The sequence below is a fragment of the Homo sapiens genome, chromosome 6 (genome assembly GCF_000001405.40).
Source record: "Homo sapiens chromosome 6, GRCh38.p14 Primary Assembly".
In the NCBI taxonomy this organism is placed as follows: Eukaryota; Metazoa; Chordata; class Mammalia; order Primates; family Hominidae; genus Homo; species Homo sapiens.
The window spans coordinates 75,752,327-75,777,406 of record NC_000006.12 but is presented as its reverse complement, the minus strand read 5'-3'; the positions used below and the strand labels follow the sequence as shown (position 1 = coordinate 75,777,406).

General features: G+C 39.0%; 1 protein-coding gene and 1 pseudogene across 15 annotated transcripts in view, besides 2 other annotated features; one reads left to right on the top strand and one right to left on the bottom strand.

The window, feature by feature from the left end:
* MYO6 (myosin VI) overlaps window positions 1-25,080 on the bottom strand; it is a 170,299-nt gene that overhangs the window by 142,131 nt on the left and 3,088 nt on the right. The window lies entirely within an intron of this gene.
* Window positions 7,267-7,767: an enhancer, noted in NCBI's record as "H3K4me1 hESC enhancer chr6:76479357-76479857 (GRCh37/hg19 assembly coordinates)". NCBI's record gives its function as "activates a minimal SCP1, AML or CMV promoter by ChIP-STARR-seq in primed H9 embryonic stem cells {active_cell/tissue: H9 hESC(primed)}" and the evidence as "EXISTENCE:reporter gene assay evidence [ECO:0000049][PMID:30033119]".
* RNU6-155P (RNA, U6 small nuclear 155, pseudogene) lies at window positions 9,249-9,348 on the top strand (annotated as a pseudogene).
* Window positions 20,484-20,983: an enhancer, noted in NCBI's record as "H3K4me1 hESC enhancer chr6:76466141-76466640 (GRCh37/hg19 assembly coordinates)". NCBI's record gives its function as "activates a minimal SCP1, AML or CMV promoter by ChIP-STARR-seq in naive H9 embryonic stem cells {active_cell/tissue: H9 hESC(naive)}" and the evidence as "EXISTENCE:reporter gene assay evidence [ECO:0000049][PMID:30033119]".

Sequence of the window (25,080 nt, the reverse complement as noted above, 5' to 3'; positions counted from 1 at the left end):
GAAATCACAAACTCAACTTTTTAAAAAAATCTTTTAAACCCAAAGTCTGTGTTTCAAACAGCCAGCCACATTTGTGTAAATAATTATGCCAGGAAACCATATTTTTATCACTTGATAAAGTGATCCATCTTTATCACTTGAGCTTGGGAGTACTAGGCCCTGAAGACACAAGCGTAAATTCTGATATGTACCCTTAAGAAAGATATTAATACATTTAACAATGAGATACTTTTCTCATCCATCACAGTTATGAAAATTAAAAACCTGCCACATTGAGTTGTTCTCACTTTGAGACTATAAACTGGTAAATCCTCTGAACCAGTATTTCTTAGTACACACCAAGGATATCTGCTAAAGCACTGTTAAGAGAGGAAAAACCACAAACCATCTGAATACCTATCGATTAAAAAAATGGTTTCGTAAACTATGCTGTATCTGGACAGAGAGTCATGCAATAATTTTTTAAAGTAAGGTGAATCTTTATCTTCCAACATGAGCTATTGTTACATAAAAAAATAGAATTGTAAAACATTTTATGGAGTACAAGATCTTTCATGTTAAAAAAACAAACAAATAAACAAAAAACACATACAAGGCCAGGCACAGTGGCTCAGACCTATAGTTTCAGCACTTTGGGAGGCCAAAGTGGGAGCATTGCTTGAGGCCAGGAATTTGAGACCAGCCTGGGAAACACAGCACTACCCCATCTCTACCAAAACACATACACACACACACACACACACACACACACACTGCACGTTTCTACAAGACTAAAAATGTAAGTAATAGTAAAAGACAGACATATACACACCAAAATGATAGTAGTGCTTAGTTTCTAAATAGGGAAGAGCAACCAGGTGGTGGCCTAGGGGAATGCCAACCGCTGTATTATTTTGATTTCTGGTTGGCAAAAGGATGCATTCACTTTTTAGCTGATTAACTTAAAATGAACACAATGTAAACAGATGTTATTCAAAAAGATTTATGGGGCTTTAACCCTTTCTAACCATTGCTGCTAATATTCTTTTTTAAAAAATAGTATTATAAGTTCCCTTGCTCATTAAGTCCTTGACTAGCCCAATCTTACCACCTCTGAGAAATTTTATGTTGATAGGATGGCCTAGAATTTATATTTGGAGAAAACAATATTTAAAAAGTGACAATATATTCACAGTGCACAGGATAAAATTATTTATTGAATAGACATTTATGGAGCATCTATTCTAACAGGGAAAAGTACTAGGCCCTGAAGACACAAGAATAAAATCAAGCGTTTACAACTTACAAAAGGAGAAAGACAAGTACACCACAATGTACAGCAATATTTATAGTACTGACATAAAGTAGTCCTAGAAATGGTGCTCGGGGGAGCAGTGAAGGACAAGGACCAGGACACAGGAACTCCATTTTGAATGGAGTATTAAAAGATGAGTAGGATAAAATCTTAAAGAAATGATACGCTACACATTCCATGAAAACAAAACGAAAAACACCAGTGTGCTCTGCCTATCAGGATTCAAGCTACCTTGTAAATATCACTAATTACTCATATTAGGAACAGATTGGTCAACTCCATTAAAAAGCCACTTTCCATCCCTGCATAATAGTAGCTCTATGGATTTGTGACTCAGACCATATTCCCTCAAACCAATGCATTACTAAACTTTAACTAGACATCAGAATTGTTAAACAATAACAAAATAAAATTGAACAACTGAATAAAGCTGAAGCCCTGAGCAGCCTAACTGGAAAAGGAGAAGACCCTTTTATAGGTCATATACACCTCCTGACCTGTATTTGGCAATCTGCTCCCCAACTGTCAACAGATAAGCAGCACAGCCCTCAAGGTTGGAGACTGATCTTTGGTAAAGCAGGCATCCACCCCAGATGCTGCTGTCTCCCGTACACAGGCCTCAGAGCCAAGGGAGGCCTGGAACCTGAGAAGTTTATTTCCAATTTGGACAGTTGCCAATGCATCTCATTTGAAGCATCCAGAGACAAGGGCCAGCCCAACCCCCCAGTGCCAGAAGCCAAGGCAGCATTATCTTCTGTATAAGTTCTTGACCCAGAGGTGACCTGCACAATTTCTTCTGTGCCTGCTATGGAAGAATTTGCTCAGCTCGGCTATTATGAAGACTCTAACCTTACCAGTGGCAACATGGCAACCACAAATCCCAAATCCCGGGAGGATTATACTTAATGGAGAGAACTCACTGTACTATTGGGACTACTGGCACTGCAAAAACGGCACCTTCTTTACAATGTATAAATGATAATATCAAAGGATAATCTTGTATACATAAAATAATTTCTCACCGGACGTGGTGGCTCACACCTGAAATCCCAACACTTTGGGAGGCTGAGGCGGGCAGATCACCTGAGGTCAGGAGTTCAACACCACCCTAGCCAACATGGTGAAACCCCATCTCTACTAAACATACAAAAATTAGCCAGGTGTGGTGGCATGTGCCTGCAATCCCAGCTACTCGGGAGGCTGAGGCAGGAGAATCGCTTGAACCTGGGAGACAAGAGGTTGCAGTGAGCCAAGATCGTGCCATTGCACTCCAGCCTGGGTGACAGAGTGAGACTCCGTCAAAAAAAAAAATAGTAATAATAATAATAATAATTTCTCAATAAACTCCCCCAGTTTTAAGCACCACTTCATAAAAGTGGGGGGAAGGGATTAAAATTAAAGCTAAGGGGAAGACTTCAATTCCTTGATTTTCCTCTTTAAGGAAAATCTCTAACAAATATACCATAAAATTTTAACTATTATTTAAGAAGCTACTTTTTTAAAGGTAAGAAGACAATTGTTACATGAAAAGTAAAAACACCCATGTTGCTTTAATGTATTTCAATATTTAAAGGTCTAAATGGTCACATAAAACATTAAATTGCATTCATTCTCTAATGGTAGCAAAAAAGATCCAATGGAAAGTAAATGAATATCAGCAATTTAGTGGTAGAAAGACAGAAATGCATGAAAAGAACATGTCAAAAGTAAAGATAACTTTATTCAAACTACTGGATTATGGGTCTATCAATTATTTAAATTTATACAGGGCTATAATTAATAAAAATCATTAATCCTATTTGGTACAAAAATGTTAACTATCATGCTGTTAAATTACATTCACCTAGAAAAATATATACCATTTTATTATGTAAAAATAAGTTCATTACATTTTATTATGTAAAAAAGCATTTATATTACCTGTTATATTTAACATCTCAAAAAACTATTTGCTTTGGACTATGAATGAACATTCATTTACATAATTCATCAAGCAATTATTAAGTGGGGCTATAGCAAGGTGTTACAGTAGTATCATTATGATAATTACTCTTCTTGATACAGCAGCATTAGTCAGAGAAACAACAACCATAAATTCCAGGTCTAGAAATGAAATTTCCCAGTCACCTTATAAAGATGAAAATGCATTTAATTTTTAAGGCCTTCTAAAAAACTAGTGATTATCTCTATGTAATAGAAATATCAAAGATTCTTATTCACTTCATTTTGGTTTTGTGGATTTTCCACAATGAACAAATAAGTTGATTTTGTAGTTTGGGAAGGGTGAATTTTTAAAGAGGCCTGATTAGTTCACAGAGGTATTCCGTCACCCATCCTAATGTTTTGCCACCATCTTACACTGCTCTTTCTCACATCTTTCCTCTCTAATATGGTTTCATAGCACCCACAGAACTTCTCCACTGAAGCATAACCATATGATAAAAGGTTGTTTAATGTCCATCTCCCTACTGCAACATAAGCTTGATGATGGTGGGACTGTGTCTGTACTGCTCACAAATCCATCTCTCAATCCTGGCATTGTGCCTCTACATAGCAGGCAAACAACTCTCAATGAATAAACTAACAAACTAGTCTAAAATCCCTCTGAATGCAGCTGAAGATCAAGCCTTCTACTGTTTTCACCAAAAAATACTGATTGATACATGATCACTACCTTCTGCATTTGAAACATGTCTGAATCACCTCATTAGTCTTATTTCTTTCAAGGTAATCAATTCCAGTTTCCTAAAATCTTCTCTAACTTGTGTGGCTGTCATTCCGAACCTTAGTTTCTCCACAATGGTTCAGCTGCAGAGTTGAGTGTTAAGTCAAACATTCCACTTTTTATTTACTACTGATCATAATTGGATACTCATTATTTTATATAAAATTTGGAGAAATTCAATCAAGTGTTAAAAATATCCTCACATGTAAACAGCCTGCCTACCAGAATATGAAAGTTCAAATTGGGAAGAATCTGTTTCATTCTCACCACTCATGTTTATCACTAGCATAGTATTTGCACCAACTATATTATTTCACTTCTAATGGATTCTATGTCACAATTATGACAATTACTTCATCTTTTTTTGACTATCAGAAACACATATAGATAAACCTATAGTCACTTTCCTACCTCACAGAATCAATTTAAACATTTCCTAAAAAGTCAAGTAAATACACTTAAAAATCCAATTATTTGAACAAGATAATTGAACAATATGCTTTAATAATAAGTATATTTACTAAAATTATAAAGATCACCAACACAGTTCAAATACTATCTCAAAACTTTAGCACTTCATTGAAGGGTCCAATATTATCTCCATCCTACAGAAAATCAAGATGACTTAATGCCTACCTGACAGAAAAATACAACACAATAGGTATAAAATTCCTCAACACTCTGCCTCTCCAACTGAAAACACATCGGTAACTTCATCCACCTATACCTGAAGGTGATCCAAAACTCTTTTCAGAGCTGACTTCTCCACATGTGTTCTTAGTCCCGTCTGTTCTCAACCCTTGTAGTATCTGGATGCTCAATACTGTCTGAACTGGTTTTAGTCATTTCCTCATCACTATTTCTTTTTGTCAGTAAGGTTAGTAAAACAATGATTCCTAATGTAAAATGTTTCCTTTATATTAAAACCTAACCAAGCACTCAAAATGGAGAGTTTTCTAATTGAACTACGAAGAAAGTTTATCTAAATTAGGCTATTCAGACTTACAAAATTATCTATGCGAATGAGAAGGCTTTAAACTGTGCGACGGGGGTGGGGGATAGTGTATGAGTGTGTATACTCACATCAATGATCAAATGGCCTACCTACATCTCCGAACATAGAATGTAAACAAAGCAATTTAGGTAAGACATGAAGAATCTTTGTGACAAACAGGAGACAAAAAGAGGTTACAGAAACTTCATCTCAGAAGCTCATTAAAATAAGGATAAAACAAGTGAGTGACCTGTTTAGAGTGGTTTAGATACGGTAGGCCAGAAACAGAAAAGTAGACTCAACAGTATTAGTTTCAACAGAATTAATTTCTACTTTCAAATTTTGTATCAAGTGTACCATTTTAATAATTTTAAATAATTCTTAAGTCTCTATCCCAGAGAGTGTTCTACTTTTTTAACTCCTCCACAAGATACCATACATTTTAAAAATTAGTACACAAAAACTAAATTTTTAAAACATTCTGGTTACCAAGAGTTTCCTCAACACCTGACAAGAAAGTTTTACTTACAAAGATTTAATTTTTAAAAAAGATAAGTAATTGAACTGCAGATTGGAACTACCTGGGGATCTTTGAAAAAGTACTGACAAATGCCACCCTCCAAGATATGGGACTTAATGGTTTAAGCTGTAGCACAGGTATCTCAACCCTAGAATTCTATTATTTGACTTCTCACAGTATCAAATGTGAATTCTATTGTTTTCCTGTAAATAATTATTCAGAAAGTCAACCTCAATCTCATTTATACTGCAAACAGGAGTAAGGGAAAGATTTCATCATACTGTCTTTTAAAATTTGGGAGGATTCTTAATTGTTTAGGATCTATCTTTGTGTAGCTGATTTTTTCTCTCTAAACTCTATTTAGAGAGAAATACATTTAGCATCTAATATCTAAATACAGTTACTGCAGTTTTGATGAGGAACAACTACAGATAAATGTACCTTGAGTTAAAATACATATTCACTCTTTTCCTTTTGTTTATTAATTAAACTCCTGGGAGCTATACACACAATTTAGTGGAGGCCACTAAAAAAAACCCTTTGAAGAATCCTTTTTATTAAGAAAATTTCTGGGCTGGATGCAGTGGCTGGCGCCTGTAGTTCCAGCACTTTGGGAGGCCAAGGCGGCCAGATCACTTGAGCTTAGGAGTTTGAGACAAGCCTGGACAACATGATGAAACCCTGTCTCTACAAAAAATACAAAAATTAGCCAGGCGCGGTGGCATGAGCCTCTAGTCCCAGCTACTTGGGGGCTGAGGCGGGAGGATCACTTGAGCCCAGGAGGTCGAGGCTGCAATGAACTGTGTTTGCATCACTGCACTCCAGCCTAAGCAACAAAGTGAGACCATCTCAGGGGGGAAAAAAAAAAAAAGAAAAAAAAAAGTGCTGTTATCTTATAGCTTACACATGTGTCTTGGGGTAAGCTATCAATACTATCCTCGTCAACAACATCAAAATATTTATACTGTTATCCATCAAGATTCAACTAAATTGCCAATGTGACATCAAATAATCAGGAAAGATAAATCAGTTAAAAGACATCTGGCTTTCAATTACACAAACAATGGTCATTGGAAAATGCCTATAAAACTAAATGAGGCCAAGGGCACTGGCTCACACCTGTAATCCCAGCACTTTGGGAGGCCATGGCTGGTGGATCACCTGAGGTCGGGAGTTCAAGACCAGACTATTTAACATGGCGAAGCCCCATGTCTACTAAAAATACGAAAATTAGCCAGGCATGGTGGTGCAAGCTTGTAATCCCGGCTACTCAGGAGGCTGAGGCAAAAGAATCGCTTCAACCCGGGAGGCGGAGGTTGCAATAAGCCAAGATCATGCCACTGCACTCCAGCCTGGGCAACAGAGTGAGACTCTGTCTCAAAACAAACAAACAAACCTAAAGGAGGTTAGTTTAGAAGTTTGAATACCACATACAGAGCAACAAATACTATATATAATAAACAACATGAGAACATTACTTCTGGCTGTTTTCAACTAGGTATCTCATTACGGAATTTCTCTTTGTATCTTTATAACAATCTCTCTGTGTTGGTCTGTTTTTACCTTGCTATGAAGGAATACCTGACACAGGATAACTTTTAAGAAAAGAGTTTCAATTGCTTCACAGTCCTGCAGGCTGTATAAGCAGGGCTGCAGCATCTGCTTCTGGAAAGGGCCTCATGAAGCTTACAATCATAGTGCAACGCAAAGGGAGAGTGGGTGGTGTTACATGGTGAGAGCAGAAGCAAGAAGACGAAGCAAGAGAAGCCCTAACAGAGAAATCTACTAGGGTAGTGAGGAAGGGAAATGTGGGGTCTGAGCCCCCACAGAGTCCCCACCAGGGCACCACCTACTGGAGCTGTGAGAAGGGGGCCACTGCCCTCCAGAAGTGAGAATGACAGAACCACTAGCAGTTTGCATCCTGAACCTGGAAAAGCCACAGGCACTCAACTCTATTCTTTTTTTTTTTCCTTTGAGACAGAGTCTCACCGTGTAGCCCAGGCCAGAGTGCAATGGCACGATCTCAGCTCACTGAAACCTCTGCCTCCCAGGTTCAAGCAATTCTCCTGCCTCAGCCTCCCAAGTAGCTGGGATTACAGGCATGTGCCACCATGCCCAGCTAATTTTTCGTATTTTTAGTAGAGACGGGTTTCACCGTGTTAGCCAGGATGGTCTCGATCTCCTGACCTCGTGATCCACCCACCTCGGCCTCCCAAAGTGCTGGGATTACAGGCATGAGCCACCACGCCCAGCCTACTCAATTCTATTCTTGAGAGCAGCAGAGGGAGTGGAGCTGCCCGAGACCTTGGGAGCCCACGACTTGCACCAGTGTGCCCTGGATGTGGAACACAGAGTCAAAGGGGATTATTTTAAAGCTTTAAGATTTAATGACTGCCCTGTTGGGTTTCAGGGACCTGTAACCCCTTTCTTTTAGCCAATTCCTCCCTTCTGGAATGGGAATGCTTACCCAAAGCCTGTACCCTCACTGTATCTTGGAAGTAAATAACTTGTTTTGATTTTACAGGCTCATGGGTGGAAGGAGATGAGTCTCAGATGAGACTTAGGACTTTGGTCTTGCTGGAATGAGTTAAGACTTTGAGGGACTTTTGGGAAGGGATGATTGTATTTTACGATGTGAAAAGAACATGAGATTTGGTGGAAAGATATGGTTTGGACATTTGCTCCCTCCAAATCTCATGCTGAAATGTGGCCTCCGATGTTAGAGATGGGACCTGATGGGAGGTGTTTCAGGCATGCAGGCAGATCCCTCATGAATGGCTTGGTGCCACCCCCACAAATGAGTGAGTGCTCGCTCTGAGTTCACAAGAAATCTGGTTGTTTAAAAGAGTGTGGCACTTCCCTCCTTTTTCTCTTGCTGCCACTCTCACCATGTGACAACAACCTCTCTCCCTTTGCCTTTCACTATGACAGTAAGCTTCCTGAGGCCCTCACCAGAAGCAGATGCTGGTACCATGCTTCTACATCCTACAGAACCCTGTGCCAATTAAACCTCTTTTCTTTATAAATTACTCAGTCTCAGGCATTCCTTTACAGCAACACAAAAACCAGACTAATACATTCTCTATGGCAAAATAGTTCATATATAGTTCATATATTTTACAGCAATAATTTGCTACTCCCTTTGCTTATTCCCAAACTCACTATCCCTTGAAGGTATTAAAATGAATTATTGGCCAGGCACAGTGGCTCATACCGGTAATCCCAGCACTTTGGGAGTCAGAGGCTGGTGGATCACTTAAGGTCAGGAGTTTGAGACCAACCTGGCCAACATGGTGAAACCCCATCTCTACTAAAAATACAAAAAATTAGCCAGCCATAGTGGCAGGCGCCTGTAGTCCCAGCTACTCGGGAGGCTGAGGCAGGAGAATCACATGAGCCCAGGAAGCGGAGGTTGCAGTGAGCCGAGATCACACCACTGCACTCCAGCCTGGGTGATAGAGCAAGACTCCATCTCATAAAATAAAATAAAATAAAATAAAATAAAATAAAATAAAATAAAATAAAATAAAATAAAATAAAATAAAATGAATTATTTACACTTGGAGGAAAACTCTTTTGTGAAATTTTTTAAAATCTTGTATTTAAATTCAGGTGCAAAATAGATCAGATTATTAACATCCAAATATTCTAAAACTACAGGTAAAAAAGTTATTTATGCATTCTGCAATAGATACACCCATAAAAACACTGAGAGGTGCTCACTTTGGCAGCACATATACTAAAATTGGAAGGACTCAAAGAAGATCACCATAGCTCCTGGGCAAATGCAAACTGGTAAAATGTTTCAGTTTCTTTTTTATTATTGCAGACACACTGGGCAGCTCTTCCAACATGTAATCCCAGCTACTTAGGAGGCTGAGGCAGGAGAATCACTTGATACCCGGAGTTAAGACCAACCTGGGCAACAAACCTTATTTCATTATTTTTAAAAATGGTGAAAGTGTTTTGGGAGGCAAAATATAATTTCTGTAGTAAATTCATTTTTTTTAAATGCAAGAAATTTCCACCAATTTAATTGCTTAAGAATAGAATTTGTGGCCAGGGGCAATGGCTCACACCTGAAGTCCCAGCACTTTGGGAGGCCAAGGCAAGCAGATGGCTTGAGCTCAGAAGTTAAGAGACCAGCCTGAGCAACATGGCAAAAGCCTGACTACAAAAATACAAAAATTAGCCGGGTGTGGTGGTGCGCACCTGTAGTCTCAGTTACTCAGAGGCTGGGGTGGGAGGATCGCTTAAGCCCGGAAGACAGAGACTGCAATGAGCTGAGATCATGCCACCACACTCCAGCCTGAGCAACAGTGAGACTCTGCCTCAAAAAAAAAAAAAAAAAAAGGAATTTGTAAATCATGTGTATTTATGAACCATATACTATTTATAACTATTATAGTTTCTCATTTACATCACTTTAAATGAAACATTAATTTTATATTCATTCTTATTATTTATTTATATGTATTATTATTCAGAATGTAAAAGCTTCAGTGTCTCACTTAAAGACAGGAATGCAACACTCAAGAATAAATTGAGGGCCAGGCATAGTGGCTCACGGCTGTAATCCCAACACTCTGGGAGGCCAAGATGGGCAGATCACTTGAGGCCAGGAGTTCGAGACCAGCCTAGTCAACATGGTAAAACTCGTCTCTACTAAAAATACAAAATATTAGCTGGGCGTGGTGGTGCACGCCTGTAATCTCATCTACTCAGGTGGCTGAGGCATGAGAATCACTTGAACCTGGGAGGCAGAGGTGGCAGTGAGCCAAGATTGTGCCACTGCACTCCAGCCTGGGCGACAGAGCAAGACTCCATCTCAAAAAAAAAAAAAGAATGAATTGAGGAAGATGACACAAAAAAATAAAAATACTGCAGCCAGCACAAATGTCTGTGAGGATGCTACAAACTGATCCAGCTCCTGTGGGTATGGGCCAAGAACTTTTTATTTCAAATTTTCAAATTATTGTGATGCCACTAATGATGTATAGAAGGTAAAATGAACAGCAAATTCAGAGGAGAACATAGGTAAGCCCAGAATCTAATCCAATATATGTGTACATATATTTAAAATATTTTTGCATTGCTTTAACACACACTGACTAAAAAGCATACAATAACACATAAATTGAAAGAAGACTGTCCTTTATTTGGAACTTTACCAAAAGGTGTTCATCATGCTGGAAAAATCACATTATAGAGCAATGCTAATAAAGATATTTGAGTCACCAATTACAATACTTGCATATTAGTCTAATTTACAGCTGCTGCATTCATGATTATTCTACATGTAGATGTTAGTAGCATCTGACTACTTTATTCTGCCTTGTAGTAAAGGACTGCCTGCACCTTCACAAACTGAAATAAACAATATATTAATGTAATTACTATAATTAATAATTTAATAACTTTCCTTTATGTTAGAATACTGTATTAATTTTTAAGTGTATATATCTGTATATGTATATATATAAAATATACACACACACACATATGTGTAGGTTACACTGTCTACTAGTTTTTTTCTTTTTTTCTTTTTTTTGAGACAGAGTCTAGTTCTTTTACCCACGCTGGAGCACAATGGTGTGGTCTCTGCTCACTGCAACCTCCACCTCCTGGGTTCAAGCGATTCTCCTGCCTCAGCCTCCCACGTAGCTGGGATTACAGGCACCCGCCACCCCGCCCAGCTAACTTTTGTATTCTTAGTAGAGACGGGGTTTCGCCATGTTGGCCAGGATAGTCTCGAACTCCTGGCCTCAAGTGATCTGCCCGCCTCGGCCTTCAAAAGTGCTGGGATTACAGGTGTGAGCCACCATGCCCAGCCTGCTTTTTTCTTTGAGACGGAGTCTCACTCTGTTGCCCAGGCTGAAGTTCAGTGGTGCAATTATATCACACTGCCATCTCAAACTCCCAGGCTCAAGCAATCCTCCCACTTCAGCCTCCAAAATAGCTGGAACTACAGGCACACACCTACCACGCCCAGCTAACCTTTTTTTTATTCTTAGTAGAGAGGTTTTGCTATGTTGTCCAGACTGGTCTTAAACTCCTGGGCTCAAATGATCCTCCCACCTCAACCTCCCAAAGTGTTGCATTACTGGCATAAATCACTGAGCCTAGCCTTTTCTTTTTTTTGAAGTTCTTGCTGTATCAGTGCAGTGGCATGATCATAGTTCACTGCAGCCTCAAACTCCTGAGTTCAAGCAATCCTCCCACCTCAGCCTCCTGAGTAGGTGGGACTAGATGCACATACCATCACTTCTGGTAATTTTTTTTTTAAGAGGTGAAACAAATAGATGAAACTTGATTCTAGAGCACTGGGTAAGAGTTCAGAAATTTCTTCCCTACAGAATTTTATTATATTATAGCACAAAAAGAAATGTTTATTTTTGGCCAGATGCAGTGGCTCATGCCTGTAATCCCAACACTTTGGGAGGCTGAGGCAGGCAGATCACTTGAGGTCAGGAATTCAAGACCAGTCTGGTCAACATGGTGAAACCCCATCTCTACTAAAAATACAAAAATTAGCCAGGCGTGGTAGTGTGCACCTGTAGTCCCAGCTACTTGGGAGGCTGAGGCTCGAGAATCGCTTGGACCCAGGGGGTGGAGGTTGCAGTGAGCTGAGATTGCACCACTGCACTCCAGCCTGGGTGACAGAGCAAGACTCTGTCTCAAAAAAAAAAAAAAAAAAAAAAAAGCTTTTTTTTTTAGTCATAGCCTTATATGTGAAATTACCTCTAAATTTTTTAACTGCACAATATTGACAGGAAAAATGAACTCCAAACTAAGAGACTTATGAATTAACTTTCAGTTCTGCCAGTGGTTAGCTATCTGACCTTCAAGTCTCTCTCTCTTTTTTTTTTTTGTTTGAGACGGAGTCTAGCTCTGTCGCCCAGGCTGGAGCGCAGTGGCATGATCTCGGCTCACTGCAAGCTCCACCTCCTGGATTCACGCCATTCTCCTGCCTCAGCCTCCCGAGTAGCTGGGACTACAGGTGCCTGCCACCACGCCCGGCTAATTTTTTGTATTTTTAGTAGAGACGGGGTTTTACCATGTTGGCTAGGCGGGTCTTGAACTCCTGGCCTCAAGTGATCTGCCTGCCTCAGCCTCTCAAAGTGCCTGGCCTGGATCAAATCATTTTTAAATTTCTAATACAGTGAATATCAATAGATATAATCCACATAAACAAAATACGCAGTCTTCAGTAATTTTTAAGTGTGTAAAAGAGTCCTGAGACCTGAGATCCACTGATCAAAAAAAACCTTACAAAGCCCCTCGCTAGGCAGTTTATACCCTCCAGTAATTCACAATCTAGGTAGAGTAGACAAGAATGAAAGAAGATACACATACATCACAGAACCTTTGATGTACATTATAATACCAGTGTAATTCCAAATAGTAAATTTGGGGTGGCTACTTTCAAAGATTTAATTCAAGCAGGTAGTGAAAGATGGGTAAGAATGACTAAAGAAAAGTGCACTCCAGACAAAGGGTTTGTTTGAACAAGACTAAGGAGAAAGGAGAATGGGGACACGTTTGGGGAAGAGGCCAACGGGGCTAGAGCGAAGGAGAATGGCACAGGTGTGATGAGTGCTATAGTGAAAAAGTGGGGCAAGATAGGTCAAAAAGGATTTTGAATCACACAGTAAGAATTTAGAGACCAGGCATGGTGGCCCGCATCCATAATCCCAGCACTTTGGGAAGCTGAGGTGGAGGATCACTTGAGCCCAGGAGTTTGAGGCTGCCATGATCTATAATGGTACGAATGCAGTCCAGCCAGGATGAGAGTGAGACTCTATCTCTAAAAAACAAAAAAAGAAATAGATGAAGAGGTTGGAAAAGAATAATGCTCTAAATGAGGCCACTGGATCTATTAATTAGTTACAGAGTAGTCACTGTTGAGTGTTTAGGGACACAGCACAAATTACAATGAATCTGGGATCAAGACCTCATTAGCATTATATTAACTACAGGAAATAAGTATTTTACCTGGTGTTACAGAAAAATATTTTTTTCAAAGACTAGTTTGTCTTTCAACTGTAAGTTTTTAAGTTATCTCTCTAAACTTTGTTATTTTCAGATAATTTATTTCAGAATCATAAAATACTGATTTTGGCACTTAAGTAGAACTCTAGCATTTACCTAATGAATTTTATAACAAAATAATATACTATTGTGTTACATATTGAACCTCAACCTACTGCCTAAAAGAATATTATTCTTACTGTAGATAAGCCTACAAAAGCACATTTTAGTGCAAATCCAACAAATGACATTTATTCAAGGAAAAAACTATTATTCAATCCTTTTTTATTAGTAATATGAAGCACAATATAAGATCAAATTTCATTTTGGCATGTTTATATCAAATATGTATTTAGCTAGAACTATGTTTATGCAAAAGTAATGTGTGAAAAATCCGTATTTTATTAATATAATCTAGGAAACAATCATTTGTTTTATACAAAGATTCTTCTCTTTACAAAAGAAATTATCACTGGGACCCTTTAAATAGGAAGCTTTCCCAGAATAATAAAAAAATTATGCCGGGCACAGTGGCTCACGCCTGTAATCCCAGCACTTTGGGAGGCCAAGGTGGGTGGATCATGAGGTCAGGAGTTCAAGACCAGCCTGGCCAAGATGGTGAAACCCCGTCTCTACTAAGAAAATACAAGAATTAACCAGGCGTGGCAGGTGCCTGTAATCCCAGCTACTCAGGAGGCTAAGGCAGGAGAATCGCTTGATCTCGGACGGTGGAGGTTGCAGTGAGCCGAGATCATGCCACTGCACTCCAGCCTGGGCAACAGAGTGAGACTCCGTCTCAAAAAAAAAAAAAAAAAATTACAGGTCAGATGCAGTGGCTCATGCCTATAATCTCAGCATTTTGGGAGGCCAAGGCAGGAGGATCACTTGAGACCAGGAGTTCAATACCAGCCTGGGCAACACAGTAAGACCCCTATCTCTACAAAAAAAAAATTAAATTACACTTAAATTCATTATTTACATAAAACTTTACAGGAATACATTTGCTTAAGGCACATACATTAAGTATGTAATTATAACAGGTATATAACTAAAACAGGTAGTTGTTAAGAGGTTTAAAAGACAAGAGCTGCAGACAATGGCTTAGATTTGGGTCTAGGAGGCCTCCCCTCTCTCATCCACTGGCAGCGGAGGCTGGAGCCCTGTGCAGAGCAGAAATCTGAGGGTGAGTCTGGCTCAGAAGGGAAGTGGGTATCACAGAACTGTCTTCCCTGGACTTGAGAGTGGGGCATAGATGCACGAATGTCACCATTTTACTACTGTTTGTGTAGGGAGATAAAAACAGAAAAGATTAACTCTTTGATTTTCAAAGCTCTGAGTGTTTAAAAGAGCACACAGAAAAAGCAAGCTTAGAATTCTAAGTGGAGCAAAGACTCTAGAGCCAGACCACCTGGAAGCATCTTTTGACTCTACTCCTTACTACATCTATCACCTTCTCAAGTTACTTAGACCTCAGCTCTCTCAGCTATAAAATAGAATAATAAGAATAGTCACCTCATAGGGTCAACGTGAGAATTAAATGAGAAAATAACTGCAAAACACTCAAAGTGACGGCATATAATTGGCCCTCAAGAATTGTTATAATTATGGCCGGGGGCACAGTGGCTCATGCCTGTAATCCCAGCACTATGGGAGGCCGAGGCAGGCGGATCATGAGGTCAGGATATCGAGACCATCCTGGCTAACATGGTGACACTCTGTCTCTACTAAAAATACAAACACAAAATTAGCTGGGCGTGGTGGCTGACGCCTGTAGTTCCAGCTACTCAGGAGGCTGAGGCAGGAGAATGGCGTGAACCTGGCAGGCGGGGCTTGTAGTGAGCCGAGATCACGCCACTGCACTCCAGCCTGGGCGACAGAGTGAGACTCTGTCTTAAAAAAAAAAAAAAAGAACTGTTACAATTATACTGTGCTAGGATGATTTTAGATCACTCATTCAATCCATCATTACAATATACTGCCACCCCGAACCCATCTGACATAAACCTTTCACTGTTCAATCATGCTGACCTACTCTGTTGTCCACATGTTCTGAAAATACTAACCTATATCAGTGTTATATACCAAATAGCAGAATCCTAGAAAACAGGACTAAAGTCCATGACATTCTGGGCCAGTTCCAGAAACACACCTTTAATAAATAATAGCCCTCTGTATACAGTTGCACATCTGGCAAAAAGGAAAAAAAAAATGTGTCTGTGTGTGTGTGTGTGTGTGTGTGTGTGTGTGTGTTCTAACAGCCCATTTTCTAACATACTAGCATCAGTATATGCAGCCACCAGGCTATCTCCATTTTTACTAATGACTTACTAAAATCACCAAATTGGTTTATAAATTCCTAACTTATCCTCACTTTCCTTCCAAAAAAAAGGCTTATTAGTAGAATGCATCCCTATAAAATATAAAATTAAATTCTGATTGAAATAAATATTTCCTGGTTGCTAAAACATCTGTCGTGACAGCTGGTCATATGGTCAAACTCATTCAATTTCCATCCTTCTTTTCCCTCCTCCCATACCTGAAAGAAAACCTTTAACATAAACCTCTTCAATTAGCCATTTGAATACATGATGACTAGTTTTTCACTTTACATTCACCTGTTTTCTCCATCATCTCAGTGGCCAATACAAGCCACAGTTTTGTTTGAAATATCAAACACAAGAATAATAAGTACATAAAGTATTTTCTTCGTTCTTCTCATCTTAAAGATCAACCAAGATGAACAAGAAGAGCAGAGAAACTAATACATTCTTCTTCAAAACACACACAGGTTCTTTGTTCTTCCCCCAGATACTAAGACCAAAAGGATAACAGACAGCAAATCATGCCCACAAACCAAAACACAGCTGGTTCATCTAATTTTAGAAAAAAAATAACAAGGAAGAAGAGAAAAGTTCTCTCTGGAATAACTCAATCCTCAAATCAAGGAAATTCAAAGAATACAACATGGAAAAACTAAGAGCCTCAAATATCTCCTGCGGGATACTGATTCCATCAGTGTCAAATCCAAATAAACAATATGTTTTTAGAAGATCCCACAAAAGTTTGAAAATCACTCCTTTAAAAAAAAAAAAGCCTACTTACAGAGAAAATGTCTAAATGGTTGGTTTCCAACCACAGGTGTTATTCAGTTGATTCCAAACCTGTTTCTCATTTTCACCATACTCTCTAAAAAAGACAAGCTGGGAAACATATTTGTTTTTTTTTTAACTCAGTTATAACATTTATATCCAGAGGTATACTTTATTTGTATGCTAAATTCTCTCAGCCAGATGTTTATTCATCTGCTCAACCCTGCACAATACGGCTTTTCCTTTTCTGGAGGTCATGAACAAGGCCCTCTCTAGCTGCTTCTTAATCTGAGTAAGATCTTGTACTTCTTTTTCCCTGGAATCCTCAAGAGAAGAAAGAAAATATAAGTCATAATCTAATTGTTTTGGGGGGAGTATTACTTATATCCCTAGAATCCTTCATACCATCTCTTTAAGAAGAGAAATCCTTTTCTTTAGTAACCCCTAAGGAATCTATCCAAAATAAAGAGCACAAACTTTTTGCCAGAACTAAGATTAACTAGGTAAAATTGGCATTAGCAAAATATCAGCAACTGCAAGATAACAGCAAACTGCAACAGATTTATACAGAAATTTAATGTGTCCTCAAAAGGACTTGGGAAGGACGAACAACTATTTCCCAATAGTCTTGCTTCTATGAACTATTACCATATCAACACTATGTTCTAGTGCTCTTGCTGTCAAAAAAAATTCCAGGTGAATACAAGTATAAATTCCAGAAAAGCGAAAGACTTATTGCCAAAATATTTTTAATTTAGTCACTAAAGATTTTTAATGAAAGAAACATGTATTCCATTAAACCAGGACTGCCTAGTGAAGAAAATTTCAGAAAACCTCAGCAAAGTATAACAGTATATTAACAAAAGTGCTTTGTGTTAACAGACCTAGATTATGTTTCTTGTTGGGTTATACGGATCATCAAAATTTCCTAAAATAATTGTTCAGTTAAATGAGAAAGTGATTAAACTATTTCTGAAAGCATGTATAAAACAATTAGTCCCAAGTATTTTGCAGATGTATCACAATGCTACAAGTTTTTTTTAAAATGTACCAAGGAAATGCTACAAATCCCCAAAGGTTCTAAATAATGTCCTAGTTAATCTCCATTTGCTCCTTCACATCCTCAATTCTTTCTCTGCTCTTGCACTGGGAGAATGAGCTTTAAAAAAAAAAAAAATCACCTGGGCTCCCCAGCTGGGTTCTAGTAAAGTAAGTCACCGGTGGAGACTCGGAGGAAGAGGGAAGAGAGATCAGGGAACCTCCCTTCACGCCCCTCCTGCTTCAAAACCGCAGCTCCCTCTAGCCCTCCTCTACAATGCCAGCTTTCTGCTCTGGTAATTTCTGGAGAACTAAGAATTTCTTACTGTTTCTAATCCCTGAGCGCTTTACCACACTTGTTTGTTCTCTAACCTCTGCAAATAGCCTCTTCATGTGAACCACCAGGGGTAAAATCTCCTTCCTTTTGGGGCTTTGCCTGATATGACTAACAATGCCAAGTCTGATTATTCAACAGCACATTATCTAAAGAAATCTAAGTTTTTGAAAGTTTTTAAGATCTATAGAAATGACCGGATCTATAGAAACGGCCGGGCGCTGTGGCTCACTCCTGTAATCCCAGCACTTTGGGAGACTGAGGCGGGTGGCTCAGCTGAGGTCAGGAGTTCGAGACCAGCCTGGCCAACATGGTGAAACCCCGTCTCCACTAAAAATATAAAAATTAGCCGGGCATGGTGGCACATGCCTGTGATCCCAGCTACTCAGGAGGCTGAGACATTAGAATCGCTTGAACCTGGGAGGGGGAGATTGCAGTGAGCTGAGATCATGCCACTGCACTCCAGCGTGGGCAACAGGGTGAGACTACATCTCAAAAAAAAAAAAAGATCTATACAAACATGTATTTATACATTTTTACTATTTGTATAATCGTTAAAAATTAACAATTTTAACTAATATTAACTAATCACCTCCGAATGAAGCTAGTTAAAAAGCTGAAACAGGCCAGGCGCGGTGGCTCACGCCTGTAATCCCAACACTCTGGGAGGCCGAGTCGGGCAGATCACGAGGTCAGGAGAGCAAGACCATCCTGGCTAACACAGTGAAACCCCATCTCTACTAAATAAGAAAAATTAGCTGGGCGTGGTGGCGGGAGCCTGTAGTCCCAGCTACTTGGGAGGCTGAGGCAGGAGAATGGCGTGAACCCAGGAGGCGGAGCTTGCAGTGAGCTGAGATGGCAACACTGCACTCCAGCCTGGGTGACAGAGCGAGACTCCATCTCAAACAAACAAACAAACAAAAAGCTGAAACAGTCATTACAATCTAATTTAGGTGCGAAATTTAACACTGCATTGTCTTCTCCATACAATGCTATAAGCCCCAAATAAGCTTTAAAAAAAAGTCAATGAAGAGATTCTGGTAACATATTTCACTTCCCTCTACCACATACTGCCTGGTTAACCCAAGCAAATTGTCGTTAATCTTGTTGAAGCCCTCCCTAACCAAAAGATAAAGAAAAAGTTTAAGCTAGTAGTTCTCTAATTCCAGTTTGCACATAAATCAAAAGGGAAGCTTGCCAACATAGTGAAACCCCGTGTCTACTAAAAATACAAAAATTGGCTGGGCATGGTGGCACGTGCCTGTAGTCCCAGCTACTCGGGAAGCTGAGGCAGGAGAATTGCTTGAACCTGGGAGGCAGAAGGTGTGGTGAGCCAAGATCGCGCTACTGCACTCCAGCCTGGGCAACAGAACGAGACTCCATCTCAAAAAAAAAAAAAAAAAAAAAAAGCCAACTTCAAGATTCCAACCAAATCACTAATATATTGCTCTTCTTGCTTTTCGATGAAAATTCCACATTAAACATGACAAAAAAAAACACAGTAACAACAATAATAATGAATGTACACTATGTGCTAGCCAGTGTGATCTGTGTTTTACATGTATTATTATCTAATTCAATCCTCATAAGAACCACACCAGGTAGGTAATATTGTTACTTCCATTTTATAGATGAGAAAACTGAAGCCTAGAGAAATGAAATAATTTGACCAAGTTAATGAGTGACAAAACCAGGATTGCCTCAGGTCTGCCTATCCTCTTACCCAGGAGCTGGACAAGAAAGCACTGTGCTTAAACGCAACTCTGGAACCCCAGGGCTGTCAGAGAGAGGATTAAGCCTGACGACCAAGTAGTTAGGCAAGTAATACCCTCCCATCTCCTTCCAACCCCAATTCCCACCCCTCACCCAACAAGCTATCCTGACTCCCCACACCCATCACTCCCACACCAAGGTCGCCCACCTCTGTGATGTGTCACACATCCTAGCAGAACATCAGAAGTCTGTCTCTATGTGTGTGTGTGTATATATATGTGTATACATATATATACACACACACACACAGACTTCTGATGTTCTATATGTATATGTATATATGTTCTATATGTATATGTGTGTGTATACATACACACACATATATTGTGTATATGTCTATATACATATATACACACACATATGTATGTATGTCTATATATGTATATGTATATATGTCTATATACATATATACACAATATATGTGTGTATATATGTGTGTATATACATACACACACACAACACACATAAGTACTCTTGTATATACATATATACACATATATACACAATACATATTGCGTATACATATATATACACACTATATATGTGTGTATACATATATACACATATATACACACTATATATGTGTGTATACATATATACACACTATATATGTGTGTATACATATATACACACTATATATGTGTGTATACATATATACACATATATACACACTATATATGGTGTGTATATATATGTGTATATATATATATATATACACACACAACACACATAAGTACTCTTTCCACATTAGTATCTACTACCTGCTTAGTACTAGCAGAGACCCAAATTCCAGCACCACCAAATAAGCTTGAGCAAATTTAACATCTCTGCCCCTCAGTTTCCTAATCTGTAAAATGAAGGTCATAACACCAGCACCACTGAGGTGACACAGTGATTGAGCTAATGTATACAAAAATACTCACTTGGCATAATATCTGACATGGTAGTAAAAGCTCAATAAACAATAGCTGCTATTGGCCAGGCACAGTGGCTCATGCCTGTAATCTCAGCAGTTTGGGAGGCGAAGGCGGGCAGATCACCTGAAGTCAGAAGTTCGAGACCAGCCTGGCCAACATGGTGAAACCCCACCTCTACTACAAATACAAAAATTAGCCAGGCATGGTCGTGAGCACCTGTAATCCCGGCTACTCAGGAGGCTGAGGCAGGGGAATCGCTTGAACCCGAGAGGCGGAAGTTGCAGTGAGCCAAGATTGCACCACTGCACTCCAGCCTGGGTGACAGAGCGAGACTCCGTCTCAAAAAAAAAGAAAAAACAATAGCTGCTATTAAAATTATACTTTGCTAACCTCTTCTCTTACAACACCAACATATCAGTCCTAGTCCCATTTGTTTTTTGCTTGCTTGTTGTTTTTTTTTTTTGAGACAGAATCTGGCTATGTTGCCTAGGCTGGCCTCAAACACCTGGGCTCAAGCATTCCTCCTGCCTCAGCCGCCTGAGTAGCTAGGACTACAGGTAAGCATCACCGTGTCCAATTCTAGTTCCCATTTATTTTCTCTCAGTTTTCTTTGCTAAAAGTGTGATAAATGATGGAACATACTTATATTTATCAAAGCAGGTTGGTAACAGCGCCATAACCCAATAGTCTGGGAGTCTTCGACAGATAGGTCAGAAATATTCCAGAGCAAGTAAGTCATGCAGTAGCCTTTAAATTGCACAATTTTGACAACTGCCTATTTCCCAACTTTAGGGTCAGCCCTGTTGATTACATCCTAGTATGAAGAGTCTATAATTAACTTAATTCAAAACAACAATAAAATGTCAGTACAGGGGCTTGGTCTTAATTTAATCACTGTATCCCTAGAACTTAGAATAGTGCCTGGTCCGTGGTAGACACTACAGTACGTTTTAAATAAATGAAGACATAAAGGAACCAACACAGACGCACACACAGTTCTTTAGTGAGTCTTTACAAAGACAGTTGTAACTATCGGATCACTACCAATGCACAAAGTAATAAAAGTTATTTTCAAAATTCCCCCAGAACATTTTTCTCCTTCCTTTTTTTAACTAATTGTTCTTTAAAAATTCTCCAACTAGAAAAGCTAATTACCAATTTCAGTCTAGCAATCTATTTAAAATGTTAAAGTAGTTCCATAATGATGCATCATGCTCATCTTCTATCTTCCATTAAAAAATAACCTGTAACAATTTAATAATCACCATTTTAGTGACCCTAATTTTTCAGAACTTCCTGAACCACCTGACTTGAAGCCATAATGTGAGGTTAAATACATAAGCAATAGGGGGAAAGTGGAGGACTTACTACTTTGGGACTACACAGAGATGATGCTTCTAAGTAGCCACATTGACCTTGAACAAGTTACTTAATTTTAAGTAATGTATTTATTTATTTAGAGACGGGATCTTGCTCTGTCACCCAGACTGGAGTGCAGTGGTGCAATCACAGCTCACTGCAGCCTTGACCTCTTGGGCTCAGGAGATCCTCCAACCTCAGCCTCCTACACAGCTAGCACTATAGGCGTGCACCACCACACCCAGCTAATTTTTGTATAATATTTTTTGTGAAAGGGTTTCACCATGTTGCCCAGGCTGTTCTCAAACTCCTGGGCTAAAGTGATCCTCCCAACCTCAGCCTCCCAAAGTGCTGGGATTACCGGCATGAGCCACCACATGCAGCCAGTATTTTTAATTTTTTGAGTCTCCATTTCCTTACCTGTAGAAAAGGAATAAATTTACTAAATCTACTTCATCAAGTTGTTTTAAGGACCAAATGCATACAAAAATATTTTAAAGCAATAAAATGCCATCCAAATATAAGTTATTAGCTTTTGACGTATATGTCTTTGGATTTCAAATGGATGGTTTCTATTTATTTTTTCATATCTCTGCAACTCTTCCTATTTCCTGGATCCAAAGATATGCCAGCACAGGGAGGAATCAGTTCACACTTGTCATATCTAAAACACAGTGGGCCCTCAGTAAATATCTGTTGAAAAAGATGTTCATCCACATAGATCAGAAATCAAAAAATTCTGCCACAGAAAATATATTACCTTGTAAAGGTTAGTCAGCGGCTTACTTTTTTTTTTTTTTTTTTTTTTTTTTTGAGACGGAGTCTCACTCAATCGTCCAGGCTGGACTGCAGTGGCCCAATCTCAGTGCACTGCAACTTCCACCTGCCAGGTTCAAGTGATTCTCATGCCTTGGCCTCCCAAGTAGCTGGGATTACAGGCACCCACCACCACACCCAGCTAATTTTTGTATTTTTAGTAGAGATGGGGTTTCACCACATTGCCCAGGCTGGTCTGAACTCCTGACCTCAGGTGATCCACCCACCTTGGCCTCCCAAAATGCTGTGATTACAGGTGTGAGCCACCACGCCCCAGCCAGGTTATTTTCAAATGAAATAACAAATGACCTAACATACTCAAAAGATGACTGTGTTTTTGTCAAGAGTTTCCTTTGTGCACATTACTCAGCATCATATTTACCCCATGTGAATATACACTGAAGGAATGTGCTTTGGTGTTTTGGTTTCACTTGAGACATGCCTTCTGTATAAAAAATTATTTCCTCTCTCTTTAGCACCAGCAAGATTTCTAAAGATGCCAGATTTCTTCTTTAGGTTTTACTTTTTATGCTTCAGTACTCACAGGGAAAACTTTTGGTGGACTTATGGTCATTTCTCAAACCATTATGTCATTCTTACACTAATCAATAAGAAAAATAAGCTAATTTTTGAAAACAGTAACTAGAAAGACGTTGCAAAATATTTAAAGATTCTAGTCCACTCAAATTTGTCAAATAAAATCAGAACCATTTTAAATGAAAAGATCCTGGTTCCTCTGAACATTATATAATGCCGGCAAGGCACGGTAGCTCATGCCTGTAATCCCAGTACTTTGGGAGCCCGAGGCAGCACACTATCTGAGCTCAGGAGTTCAAGACCAGCCTGGGCAACATGGCAAAACCCCTCTCCACCAGAAACACAAAAAAGTTAGCCAGGCATGGTGACATACACCTGTGGTCCCAGCTACTCCGGAGACTGAGGTGGGAGTGTCACTTGAGCCTGGGAGATGGAGGTTGCAGTAAGCCGAGATCATGCCACTGCATGTGGCATGAATGAGACTCTGTCTCCAAAAAACATATATATATATATATATATATATACACACACACACACATATATAGATCATAGATACATGCATATAGATATAATGCCTCCAAAAGAGAACTTAAGCTTATTTAACTCTACTTCTTGATGTGTGTGTCACAGATCTATTACCAATTTATATTAGTAATATTACTAATTTATATTAGGTGGTGGTTTTGTATTTACAGTTGAATATGAATATCCTTGAGATGCACAATTCCTAATAGTTCAAAGCAAATAATGAAAAAAATCCGTAATGGTAGCCACCCAACTCAGCCTTCCTACCTTGCTTCTGCTCATTTACCCAACTACATCCTACTGCTGAAATGCATGATTCCTAGTTTGTTACCAGAAAAAATGGGCTTATTTGCTCACTGTTGTCATTTATGTCTATTGCGGCTCAAGGGATATTCCACAGACCATAGAAAAGATTTGTACTAATAGTTTCTAAGTGACAATTTAATCATAATCTAAAAACGAGTCCCCCCTCTCAAGATTAGAGAATTAATTATGTAATATTTAAAGGATAGCTACTGCATAAATAATTATCTTTTTCATTAGAGGAAAATTTTAAAGTTCTATCCCAACCAGGAACATTACAATCTAATTCTAGTTCTCACAAACCTATCAAAGTTAAACACATACATATGTTTAACAGCATACATACATGCACAATACATATAATGTCCTAGAACTATACGAGAAATGAGAAAGCAGCAGCATCAGTGTTCAAGGCTGTCAACTTGAGAATGAAGACACAAACACAGGATTCTAAATTTGTTCCAGAACTACATTCACGGCCTATCATATCTACTCCTGGATGCTTTTGTCAAACCTTGAATTACATTCTTTGACATAATACCAGTTTTGCCGGTTTAAACAGTCCACCAAGTGAACTGAAACCAAGGCAAACTGTTCTGGTGGAAAAAACAGGGGCTTCGTGGTCAAATGACTCAGGTGTGAATCCAGACTTTGCCCTTCTGGAGCAAGCATTTAATTCTTTGAGACTAGACTCCCTCATCTGTAAAAGGACAAGACCATTAGCCTAGAAAATTATTTTGTAGATCAAGCCCCTCAATCTGTGATCTGTCCAATTATGGAAGATGCCTAATAAATGTGCAACAATCTTATACTAGTAAAGGGCCA